The sequence below is a fragment of the Homo sapiens genome, chromosome 6 (assembly GCF_000001405.40).
Source record: "Homo sapiens chromosome 6, GRCh38.p14 Primary Assembly".
In the NCBI taxonomy this organism is placed as follows: domain Eukaryota; kingdom Metazoa; phylum Chordata; class Mammalia; order Primates; family Hominidae; genus Homo; species Homo sapiens.
In genome coordinates, this window is record NC_000006.12 from 163,042,669 (window position 1) to 163,056,209 (window position 13,541).

The 13,541-nt window shown below is 38.3% G+C and overlaps 1 protein-coding gene and 1 long non-coding RNA gene across 23 annotated transcripts in view; one reads left to right on the forward strand and one right to left on the reverse strand.

Annotated features, from left to right (window-relative positions):
• The window catches only part of PACRG (parkin coregulated), a 588,369-nt gene that overhangs the window by 315,537 nt on the left and 259,291 nt on the right, over positions 1-13,541 (forward strand). The gene's annotated exons all lie outside the window — the stretch shown is intronic.
• PACRG-AS2 (PACRG antisense RNA 2) lies at positions 312-11,493 on the reverse strand. 2 transcript variants are annotated; one of them, NR_110871.1, is made up of 4 exons: positions 11,257-11,493; positions 8,592-9,364; positions 3,916-4,015; positions 312-501 (listed from the first exon to the last, which is right to left on the reverse strand). It is a non-coding gene; the product is annotated as a PACRG antisense RNA 2 (long non-coding RNA). The 2 variants fall into 2 exon arrangements; NR_110872.1 differs by lacking the exons at positions 312-501; positions 3,916-4,015 and having other exon boundaries at positions 8,087-9,364.

The window sequence follows — 13,541 nt, forward strand, 5'->3', positions numbered from 1 at the left end:
AAATAACTTGATTGTGAATACTGTGTTTGCTGTAAAAAAAAAAAAAAGAGAGAGAGAAAAAAAGGCACACTTAGATGAGTGGCCTACGGGTAAACTATGAAAGCAGAGATTCTACTACACAGATAATAATTTTTCATTAAAAACTTGTCAAGGTTTAGTTGATAAATGTGATTATCAATAAATTTTACATCCTGTTATTTAATCAGCTTATATATGTATCTACAGTCATTGCATAAACATGGAATTGTCTGTACCCAAAATGCATTTAGAAGTACATTATTGTAATACAAAAGAAGTTTCCAGTCTTTTATGTTCTTATCCCCTAGATTTATTATTATACGCAAACCCAAAAAGAAGGTGTCACTTTCTGGAAACGTATTCTGACCTATTTTGAAGTACCCTGAATGGCTGGCAGACATTGCTCCATGTGCAGTTTTAACCTGCGAGCTCTCTGGGCTGTGTGTGCTGTGTCCTTCACGAATGACTTCTGTTCTTCAATCACTGTAAACAAAGTGACAGGAGCACCAAGAGAGTTTAAGAAAGAAAATGTTGGCATACAAAAAGAATTTTTTTCTATACAAAGTAAAATTTAAAGAATACAGTGAGCCAGACACAGTGGCTCACGCCTGTAAACCCAGCATTTTGGGATGCTAGTGAGGGCAGATCATTTTGAGGTCAGGAGTTTGAGACCAACCTGGCCAACATGACAAAACCCCATCTCTACCAAAAATACAAAAACTAGGTGGGCATGGTGGTGAGCCTGTAGTCAACTACTTGGGGGGCTGAGGCAGGAGAACTGCTTGAACCCAGGAGGCGGAGCTTGCAGTGAGCCGAGATCGCACCACTGCACTCCAGCCTGGGTGACAGAGCAAGACTCCGTCTAAAAAAAAAAAATCATCAGTTCGAGACTATAGCAGAAGTTCAAGTATGAAGCCACAGGGGTCTGAATGGTGGTATTGACCTACAAGGCAGGCTGAAAATGACAGGAGAAGGAATTATATGTGAAGAAATAATGGAAGAATACTTTCCAGAACTGGCTGATGAACTGAACATGGAGAATAACACGAGGGAATATGTGTTTTGGCTATAGGTTTCCAGCATTTGGGACAGTAGAACGACATGGACATTGTCGGAATCAGAGAGCTTGTGCGGAGGCCAGGATTATAGGCCGTAAGTTCTGTTTGAGATGCAGTTTATGAGGCCTCTAAGTGGATGTGCCCAAAGATTTCAGATACACGTTCTGGGTTTTGGAAGAGTCAGAAGTGGCGAGGCACATTGCAGAGTCATTTGGATAAAGACCATAGGTAGCATGAGCGGGTAAAGCAAGGAGGTCCTTGAGGGAAACTTTGAGGGCTGTCCTCAGTTAGAGAACAGGAAGAGGAAGACCTGGGAGTCAGGGAGCTCAGAGAATCACGCAAGATAACAGGGTGTTCATGAGCTTTGCACTAAGAAAAAATAAGGGTTGGATGTTCAGCTTGCCTATAATATGGGAAACAGATGACTTTTTTTTTTTTTTTTGAGACAGGGTCTCACTCTGTCACCCAGGCTGGAGTGCAGTGGCACGATCACGGTTCACTGAAGCCTTGGCTCCTGGGTTCATGCGATCCTCCCACCTCAGCCTCCTGAGTAGCTGGGACCACAGGTGCATATCACCAGGCCCGTCTGATTTTTAAATTTTTTTGTAGAGAAGGGTTCTCCCTGTTTCCCAGGCTGGTCTCTAATTCCTGGGCTCAAGCAATCCTCCTGCCTTGGCCTTCCAAATTGTTGGAATTACAGACATGAATCATAGCACCTGGCTGACAATTATTAAAACTACAAAAACCTGATAGAGTATATGCAATCAGGTCCATAAATTATGAAACACAAGTTGTGATGCTAGTTGTTTAGTGTCAATATAAAAATTCTTAAAAAAATGTGATGGAAGTATTTACAAAGGAACTTGAACTAGCTTATGAAGAGAGACTTATCATCGTCACTTACAAAGACCACACTCCTCTCTCACAAATACTCTAGTCCCGCGGGCTACGAGTGTGCTGGCAAACCCTCAGGTCGGTGAGTCCCACTCTTTGTGAGTTCGCCTGGAGAGCAACATGGGGAGAGCGGGAGAGGTGTCATGAGCAGGTGAGGAGCCCTGGGAAGACCCTGTTGTTAAAAATGTCATCATGGATTTATCCATTAAGGTTTTTATTTCATTTCTTTTTAGAAACAAAATACCTTTTGGAACGTTTCAGCTTACAAGCTGTTTGTATCTTGCAGTATAACTATAATTAGATAATCTGGTTGCTCCTCTCCAATGAATGAAAGCATTCAGCTGTTTAACTGGGTAAAGTGAAAAGAAAGGAGAGGTAATTTTGGTGCCTGGAGTATCTCAAGGAGGTAGGCGTGGAGGGAGCAGCCGTTGCGAAGGTTTTGGGGAGATGCCAGCAACTCTGTTGCCCATCTTTTGGTGTGTGTAGGGAAGGTGCCAAGGTGTGTTGTGGGTTCTCAGGAAGGGGGAGGTACCTGGAGGGTGGCAAGGGCACTGGCTCAGGTCTTCCCTCCTCTGTGGCCAGCAGAGGGGCACGAGGGAGCCACCCAGCCCCTCTGGGCTTCTGCCTTCTCACCTGTAGATAGGGCAACAACCACACCCACCTCACAGGAATAGAGAAAGCTAGGAACAGTGCCTGGGTAACAGGAGGGAATCAATGAATGTAAGCCATGAACAACTGCAAAGAAACCCTCTGTTATTTCTATTATTTGAGTTACCTGCCTCATCCTCCCATTCTTCTGCCTCAGGCTCCCAAGTAGCTGGGATTACAGGCGCCCGTCAACACGCCCGGCTAATTTTTTATATTTTTAGTAGAGATGGGTTTCACCATGTTAGCCAGGATGGTCTTGATCTCCTGACCTCTTGATCCACCCACCTTGGCCTCCCAAAGTGCTGGGATTACAGGTGTGAGCTACTGCGCCCAGCTTTTTTTTTTTTTTTTTTTGAGATGGAGTCTCGCTCTGTCCCCCAGGCTGGAGTACAGTGGCATGATCTCTGGTCACTGCAACCTCCGCCTCCCAGGTTCAAGCGATTCTCCTGCCTCAGCCTCCCGAGTAGCTGGGACTACAGGCGTGCGCTACCACGCCTTTTTGTATTTTTAGTAGAGACGGGGTTTCACCATGTTGGCCAGTATGGTCTCGATCTCTTGACCTCATGATCCACCCGCCTCAGCCTCCCAAACTGCTGGGATTACAGGTGTGAGGCACCGTGCCCGGCCCAAACTGATGATTCTACCCCAAGATGTTCACTCCTATACGTTGATCTTCCCAGGTCAGCCTGCACTTCAGACTATACTTACCAAATTGTTATTCAATCATCTCTATTTCCCTTGATGCCTAAAGTGTCCAGTCCAGACTCAGCCTGCAGAGAGGGCTCCCTCCTGGCTCCCTGATATCACCTGCCAGTTCATTCCAACTCAGGCCACCTTAACCCTAACAACGAGCCACTGTATCTTGACTATGCTGTGCTCCCCTCTGTGCCATCACTCAGGGGGTATCCTCTGCCCAGAACACTCACCCCTCCTCATCTCACAGGGCTCATCAAAGTCCCCCCATCCCAATGAAACATTTTCCTGACTCCAGCCCATAATGATCTCTCCTTTCTCTTAACCAGAGCTTTTTTCCACGTAGCCTTGGTATGTACCCTTCATTTGGTACTTAATCACTTGAAATCTTACTTAACTTTTTGTGATTGTATGATTGTCCTCTTCAGAGAATAGAAAGGGAATTAATATCATTTAGCACATGCTAAATGGTATCATTTCATCCTTATAATAACCCCAGGAATTAGGTATCATTTTGCAAATGATGAACTAATAATGCCCAGAGGAGCTCCGTTACATTTCCACCAGTCACAGCATTTGAAAACTGGTGGATTTCACTACATACCAGTGATGGCTTTGAACCCGGGGGTGCCTGATTCCACACCCAGGCTGCTCTCCACGAAGACAGAGTGTCATTGATTCATTCTTTCGACAAGCTGATCATACTAAAATATGAATCCAAGGAAATAAGTTATATTTCTCTAACACACTTTCCTTTTTTTTTCCTACCCACTAACTGGCCCCATCTCTCCCTAACATTTAGCACAATGCTATAACTATTGTAGCTATTCAGTATATATATTTTTTGCTTTAGCAAAATTTGATTAAGAAATATAAAGCATCCTCAGTATAAAGAGCTTTAACAAATTGGAACAAATCTCTGAAAAATATATGCATAGCAAAATTGTATGCTGATGTAAGAGACAACAGTGCCACTATCATAACAATTTCTTCTTAAAATTGCCTCCTGGCATTAACTTCACCTGAAATAATCCTTTCCTGACCTATTTAATTCTACTTATTTGGTCGAGTGTATTAAAATTCGCAGTACATTATCTTATTCAAGGAGAGTTTTTGTAAAATAGGGCCATGTTTTACAATTAATACCAGTGGTGAAAGCCACAAATAATCTGTTTCTAACAGTCTCAATTTCTAAAACTCTGCCAAGACTTTTCAGGCCTATCATATATTTCTTGATTCGTTATTTATGAACACCTGTTATCCTGAAGTACAGTTATTCTCCCTCTACCTCTGACCAAAGTATACTATTTTTAGCATTATACAGATATGTGATCAAGGAAAGAGAAGCTTTGACAATGTATTTCAATATGTATTTTACTCCTTTTTATCTCCCTATGGTTAAAATAAATGCAGTTTTTAAAGTTTTAGGAAATTCCTTTAACTATATGACAAGAGGTTGAGTGGGAATGTTAGAAGCTATGAAACAAGGGATTATTTCTTTCTTATTTATTACACTTGAAAGTATCATTCTTTGACTGTTACCGTCGGGAACATACAATTCCTGGATAATAAAGGTTAAGTGTGCATAAATTTGAGATCTGCTTACAACTGACCTTTAGCTGTCTTTTAGCCTTTTTGACAGAAACTTAAAATAAGGTTATTCCATAAAATAATTTGATTCTCCATTCTCAAATCCAGATTTGTTACTCAGTAATTAATATCTTCCAGCTAGACAGAGCCATCAGCATTTGTAGTAAAACAGCCAGCCATAGACATGATGATTAATTTGGGCAGAATCATCACCCATCTAAGTTTTAGTCTACCCAACCATAAGCAAAATCAATATATGCATTTATTCATAAAAAATTATTTCTGTCTTCCGTTTATATTTGTCAATCATCTTTTGTAATTGTCTCCATAAGGTCTTACATAGTGATTGTTAATTTTATTATCTTAAAGTGTTTGTTTTACTTCATCTCTTGCTATTGTGAACTTTTAAAAAATATTTTCAAAGTTGTTTTTAATCGTGTATGGAAATGCTATTATTTTTAGTGCATTGATTTTTTTATGCAACAATGTTTTTACAGAGCTTTTAATTGAGCATGTCTATAGACTCTCAGGGTGTGCTGTGTAGACAGCCATATCATCCTCAAATATAAACAGTTCTTTTTTTTCCCTTCCAATCTTTGCATGTACTTTTCTTGTGTTACCACATTAGCTAGAACCTCCAGCGTAGGGTTGAATAAAAATAATAACTTTCTTCTTATCTCCTTTCTAACCAAAATGGGAATAATCCTAAAGTTCACCATGAAGTATGGGATCTGCTATAGGTTTCTGCTAAGCGTTTTTATTTTTTAGTGAAGAAATTTTATCAAAAGTTTTATCTGCATCTATTAAAATTATCTTATTTGTCTTCCTTTAATCTAAAAATGTAAACATGATGTTGAAAAATTCTGGCATTTCTGTGATATGGCCTATTTGGCCATCATTCAATGTGCCTATTTGTTTGGATTTCAGTGAGATTGAACTCTATGGTTTCAGTGTTAAGGTTATGTCGGCCTCGGTGAGATTGAACTCTGTGGTTTTCGTATTAAGGTTATGTTGGCCTCAGACAGTCAGCTGTGTAGCTTTTCCTCTTTTCGATTCTTAAAAAGAGTCAGTACAAAGGGGAAATTTTCTACTATTTGGAGGTTAAGTAATTTCATTAGGATTCAATTCCTAATGTGTTGTTCTTTCTATAATGGTTTTCTCTTGATCGCTGGGTGATTTTAAAGTGTTCTTAAATTTCCAAATATATGGGGGTGTTAAAAGTTTGGCTATCTTTTAGTTAATGATTTGTTATTTTATTTAACTTTCTGCAGAAAATGTGACATGTATGACATAGACATAGATACTTTGGAATTTCTGAAGGCTTGCTTTCTGGCTTAGTGCTTATTCAGCTTTCCAAAATAGTCCTTATATGCTTGTAAAGAATGTGTTTTATCTAACTGTTGAATGCAAGGTTCTATGTAGGTCCATTGAGTCAAACTTACATGTAAAATTTATGTGTAAACTTTATATGAAAAAGTAAGCAAATTATGGTAATAATAATAATAAACCTAGGAAAGTAATGTAAAGGGACCAGCCTACCAAATATTAAAATCATTTAAACAGTCGTGATAATCAGATCAAAATGATACTGTTCACAAATAAGGAAGACAGGCCAGTGAAACAGAATAGAAAGTCAAGAAATAGAAATTTATAATAAGGTTAAATCTCCAATCACTGGAGAACTAGTCAATAAATACAATAGGACAACTGGATATGACCTAAAAACAATCCACAGTTGGAAACTTACCTTACATTTTATACCAGGAAAAGTTACAAATAGACTAGTGATTTAAATGTAAAGAAAATAAATCATAAAAGTATGAGAATAAACCATTATTAATGCTCTTTTCTGACTGTTTCTATTCTTTATGCTACACAATGGGGGAAATATTCCCAATGAGACTCAAAAATCAGCATCTATAAAACATTAACGAATTCAAAAACATTTTTAAATTGTCATGGCAAAAGAAAAAATTGAAACTCCTATCACACTCAAGACTAATTTCTCTAATATAAAAGATCTCTTGAAATAGGCCAATGCCTCAGTAGAGAAAAAATGGCAAAAGATAAGAAAATACAATTCTCAGAAAAGGATATACAAATGACCTTCAAAAATAGCTTTAAAAGGTAATTATTCTCATAGTAAGAGAAATAAAACAACCCTGAAATACCATTTTTAACTATAATATTGTTAAAAATCAAACTCTGATAGCATTCTCTTTGGACAGACATTAGAAAAACAGGTAGTCATTTATTTTTTATAGAAATGTAATTTGGTACCATCTCTGTGAAGCACGACTTGGCAATATGTATCAAAATGACCAATATGTATACCCATTGATAAAACAGTTCCTCTTCCAGGAATTTATCCTACAAGATACTTTTTTTTTAAAACTTCACCTTTATTTTCCACCTTTCATTGTCATTATATTTTGAGTGTTCACTTTATAAACTAATTCAGAACTGAAGGACATTTTCCCTTTTATGATAATCTCTTTTAATAAGAGAATTTAATTCACAAACACTTTTTATTATTGCTTACATATTTGGATCCATTCTACGTAAGTTTTTCTCTCCATATTTTTTCCTGGGACCAGGAGGATATTTACCCAGCCTTCAAGATAAAGCTGGTACTGTTTTTTTCATTCCCTCTTCTCTATTCTCTTGAAAGTTCATTTTATTTTTCAGAATAGGTATTCTTAAACTTTAATATGCTTAATTATTTGATAAGTCTAAAGGGTATCAATAACTTTATCCTCATCTCTTTCAAGGCAGAGATATTACCTTTGACCCAGATTACCTTCCTCTCATCTTCCTTGCTATTCCTTTCTAGTATCTTAGCCCCGCTTTATAAACCCGCCATATTGATGATTTAAAAAACTCATAATAGTCACTGCTTATTTAGTCTTAATTCATTCAACAATTTATCTACTATTAGCTCTTTCATCTCATCTCTTTGTCCTGTGTTCAACTCACTTTTTAATAAATTTTATCCTTTGGTAAAGTTGATGATCCAGGGGTTAAAAAAATACCCTTCAGTCTTAGTCAAATACATTTGATTTGTCTTTATTTTTGAATGATAATTTTACTAAGTTGTATTGTAGATGAATAACTTTTGTTCTTTGAGCATGTTGAACATTTTTTACCCTTTTCTCTGACCTCTATTTTATTAATGAGACATGTAATTTCCATCTAATTTGGATCTTTTATTGTAAACTGTCTTTTGTTTCTAGTTGCTTTTAATCTTTTCCTTGACTTTGGAGTTTCATAGTGTTTCTGAAAAGTGTCTAGATCTGCATTTTCCCTCTGAATATTTACATCTTTCTTAATTATGAAAAATTCCCAGTCATTGTTGCTTCAAATATTGCCTTTCCCCATGATCTGTCCTTTCCTCTGGAGCTCCTGTGAGTGACTCGAGGGAGCATCCCGGGTCTTGGGACTCCCTGCGATCTTTTCCATTGCTTTACCTCCCTGTGCTGCCTCTGCATTCATCTTCCAGCTCCGTGATCCAGATCTCTAATTCTCTTTTCATTTGTGGTGAATTTATTGTTCAACCTAGCTACTGAATTTTTAAGTTAATGATACTATATTTTTTCTAAAAGTTATATTTTTTAAGTGAAATATTTTTCCATGTTAAGTATTTTTAAATTATTTATCTTGAGATTTTATTCTTCTGTTTCCAGTTGTTACCTCCACAGCTCGTGTCTATGCTCATTGGTCTGTTGAGTCTTCCTTTTGGTGACTGCATTGCCACAGTGGTGGATAATTTTTCATTGCGAGCTCATCTATATTAGGGGTTGCATTTTCTGTGAGTCCCATGTACGAGATTATGCAAGTGTTCATGTTTTTACATTTGCTTTGGCCCGGGCCCCAAGGGTTTCCTTTTCATTATCTGAGACTAATGCTTTCCCTTAATTTCTGGGCTTTTGATTTCCTAGGTTTCCATTTCTCAGAGGAGGTTTGTCCCACCGAGAGCTTTGTCAAACACCAGGCTGTCTTTCTGTTTCCACAGACAGATTTGAAGAGATTTTTCCAGTTTCTTTTTCACAGGTGAGGCAGCCCTTCAAGTGTCCTGGTTGTATGCGGGAGTCTCGGATTAGTTCCCTTCTCTCACCAAATGCTCTGTTTTTCTGAAGACATTAAAACCTTATTCCTAGTTTTGTGACCTAATCTGATACTTCCTGGGGTCTCCTGGCATCACCTGGAACTCACTTCTGCAACTGGATTTTGTCTTTATCTCTAGCATCTGAGGATTTCCTGAGCTCAGCTTTGCATTGGGCATATTTTGTTTTTTAAGTCTGTAGCAGTTGATGGATGAATCCGTTTCAGTCTTGTCTGCCATCTTGCCTGAAATTTGCTTCATTTCTGCCCTTAAGAGCATTTTTCATGTTAAAAAGTCTTAATTTTAGCATTAAGAATCTCATGTGCTATATTACATGATTTTAGTTGTATATTCAGTATCACTGGAAAATATAAGGTGAGAAATTATTTTTAGTTATTCATCACAACTGCATCACACGTATTTGAAAAATAATAGTACATCTACTTGTAAAATATATTATATATATTTTCTGTAGACAGTGATTAATGCCTGTCTAATTTGTAAGACCTCTTGTAATAACTCAATAGCTGCCTCAAGGGTTGAGAAACACTGTTAAGTCTTTATTTTAGAAACGTCACAATAAGTCTAAAGGAGGTCATAATATATTAATAGATAATTATACTTTTTCAGATTAATTTGTGTTTCTGAGCAAGATCCTTGGTAATTATAACAGCAGTCATAAGAACAGATATTTTCAATGAAATTTTAATTGCTAATAGAAGCAAGGATATGGAAAGCATAAGAGTAAGTCTCTGATTTGAGTTTTTTTCATGAAAGTCATTAACCTCTGATGTGGTTTGGCTTTGTGCCCCCACCCAAATCTCATCTCGAATTGTAAACTCCACATGTCGAGGGAGGAACCTGGTGGGAGGTGATTGGATCATGGGGGTGGTTTTCCCCATGCTATTCTTCTGATAGTGAGTGAATTCTCCTTGGCCTTCCACCATGATTATAAGTTTCCTGAGGCCTCCCCAGCCATGCAGAAATGTGAGTCAATTAAACCTCTTTCATTTATAAATTACCCAGCCTCAGATGTTTCTTTATAGTAATGTGAAAACGGACTAATACAACCTCACTGTGTTTCTGATGTTTCAATATAGTATCACTGTCTTACACATTTGTTATGGGGATAAATATTTGACAGGCTAGGTCAAGTTAGAATTTTATTGCTGCTGACCAAAGGTCATTGTAAGATTTAAAGGTCACATAGTAGGTACTATGTGATCTTTAAAAAGTTATAAAACATGAATTTTAAAGATATATTTTATGAGTAAAAACGCTTCACATTTCTGGAGCTAATATCAATGTAATCCAGGTATTCACATATAATTTTAACTGATATGTCTAAAACATTCCTTGTTCTGTGTCCCTCTGAAAGCAATTTTCTTTTAATTCTGGATTTCTTAAACTTTAAAGAAAGATTCCTAAATTTGAAAACTACTATTTTATGTTAAATAAACTAGTTATCCTAAGAATGAAAAATTTACTGAAATACCTTAACTGAAATAAGGTTTGTTGTCACATAAACCTTAAAAATGACTATTTGTGAATCTAAATTAACAAAAGGAGCCAGCAATTGAGAAGAACTCTTAGGAATAGCAGTCACAGTGTGACAGACACACACATACATATAGATAAGGGATTTCCTCATTTATCTCTTCTTCAAATTTTGGCTTTAATCTTAAATTATTCTCAGTATCTTTTTTTAAATAAGGACCTCTTATTGTTATTTATATGGACAGATTTTAATATGTTTGCATTTGATGATACTGTAAAAAACAGAACTGTTGCCAGAGTTTTAAAAGTAAAGGGAATTTTTTAAATGTACAACTATTAGATATCAATTTTAAAACTACCAAAAAACTCAGAATAGCCAATTAAACCCTAAATGATTTCTAGTGAAATGAGGGAAAACACAAGCACCCGGAAGCCTATCTTGTCTATTATAATAGTCATAAAATTTCTGAAATGTAAATAATCACTGCAATGCTAATAAGAGAAAAATAGTATTTTATTTACAGAATACATAAAGTTGTAGAATACATAAATTTATAGAAACTTACATACTCCTTCACCTACAGAGTCAGTGTTAAACAGCCGACCCTCGGTGCAGCTGCCCTCCCTCTATCCTAGGCACAGCCACTCATCATCTGGTCATTGTTCCTTAGCAGGACAGCCCTCTCAAGGAAGTTAACACAGGGCAGATTCAAAAGGTCAGAATTAAAATTCAATGCATGCCTACTGAATACCTACCTATTGTGTGCCCAGCACTCTTCTAGGCAATGACAAGCTCCCTAAAAAAAAGAACTTAAGAAACTGTAATGAATAAATGATGAGGCTACAAAAAAATCAAACAGGGTGATAGACAATAGTAGGACGGCCTCACAGAACTGAAATTGAGATGAAAGGACTTGCCAGTGAGAGGTCTGGAGAGGAGAACGGTGTGCAGTGGACTGAATCGTGCCCCACCGCTCCCCTCCAATTCATTATGTTGGGCAAATCCCAGCGTGACCGTATTTGGAGATGGGGCCTGTATGGAGGTAATAAACGTGAAGTGAGATCATAATGGTGGGGCCTTAACCCAGTAGGCCCATTGTCTTTATAAGAAGAGAAAGACCAGCGATCTCTCCGCATGCACACAGAGGAAGGGCCCTGTGAGGACATTTTGAGAAGGTGACTGTCTACAAGCCAGGAAGCGATCTCTCCCTCCACAGAACTCGAATATGCTGACACCCTGATCTCCAACTTCCAGCCTCCAGAACTGTGGGAAAATACATGTGTGTTTTTCAAGCCACCTTGTCCATGGTATTTTGTTAAGGCAGCCTGGGCTAAGACAGTGCGTTCGAAGAGTCCCTAAGGAGGAACTGCTGCGGGACTTTTCCTTAGTTCGGCTGAAGACAGGGTTTTTTGTCCCATGGCCACGAAAATTCATGCTCACAGACAATTTGAATTTGAATGAGTAAGACAGGGTTTTGTTGGGTGAAAAAGGAAGAAAAAGGGGAAACAGGGACTCTCGCTAAGCCAGAGTCCCTGCTAGGGTGCTTCCCACCAGCCATCCTCATCCCATTTTGGGGCTTCCCACCAGCCATTCGCATCCCAGTTTCCACACAGGAAGAGGAGGGGCCAGGCTACTCCCTGCGGCAAATGGTGTGAACCTGTGTGGCTCCTCCCAGTGGGCAGGAAAGATGGAGAGGGTGGACCTTCTCCAAGGACCGCCTCCCCCCTGGCTGTCTCAGAACCAGCGAGGTCAGGCCAGGCCAGGGATTGGAGGGAGGGAATTAGGGTGACCTGCCAGTGTTGGGGGTACAACTTCACCAGGTCAATTGTGCTGTGCTGAGGAGAACAGAAAGGAGATTCAAGGATTAGACACAAAGAAAGTCACTGGTGACCTTGATAAAAGCAACTTCAGTGAAATGGTGAGGGAGTGGGTTAAAGAGGGAACGGGAATGAGGAAGCAAGGACAGTGATGATAAAGAATTCTCTTGAAAAACTTTACTATGAAGAATAATGTGGAAATGGAGCGGGGACCGGGGACAGTGTGGAAATGGAGCCGTGACTGGGGATAGTGTGGAAATGGAGCAGTGGCTTTTCAGAAAAAGTACTTAAAGAGAAGTCAGATATATTATTAAGACACACACATGCACACATATCCAGGTGTGCACACACACATGCACACACACACGCACACACACGCACACATATACACACATGCACTCACATATATACACACGTGCACACACACGCAAACAAGCGCCTGAGGATAAACGTAATATAAGAGGGATTACCAAAGCCTAGGCCAAATTCATCCACTGAAAACAAAATTATTATAATAAAAAGGAACCCTGGAAGATATGTAAAAGGAATTTACATACAAAAAATCATCCTGTAGGAAGTAGAACTGTATCTACTGTGTTAAAAAAGTTTGTGTCTCAAAATATAATGGCAAATTGTTATTCTATTATTTTGTTGTTATTTGTTTTTTATTGTTTTATTTTTTCTTTGGCATTTTTATCATTGTAAAATACACATAAAACTTACCATTTTTACCATTTTTAAGTGTACACTTCAGTGGCAGTAAGTACTCTCATACAGTGTGACCATGACCACCATCTAGTTCCAGAACTTTTTCATCACCCCACATGGAAACCCCATGCCCAATAAGCAGCCACTTCCCAGAATCCTTTCCCCCAGCTCTTAAGCAGCCACTTTCTGTCTCTTGGATTTGTCTATTCCGAACGTTTCATAGAAATGGAATCGTACAGTATGTGGTCTTTTGTGACTGTCCTCCTTCGCTTAGGAAAATGTTTTCAAGGTTCATTCATGTTGTGTCATGTATCAGATGCTCCACATCCTACTTGTTAGGAAAATGAAAATCTAAACCACAGGAAATACCATTTCACACACATTAGCATGGCCACAATGAAGACTACAGAAAATAACAAGTGTTGACGAGAATGTGGAGTGACTGGAGCCCTCATACATGGCTGGTGGGAATATAAAATGGTACAGCTATTCTGGAAAGCAGTTTGGCAGTTTCC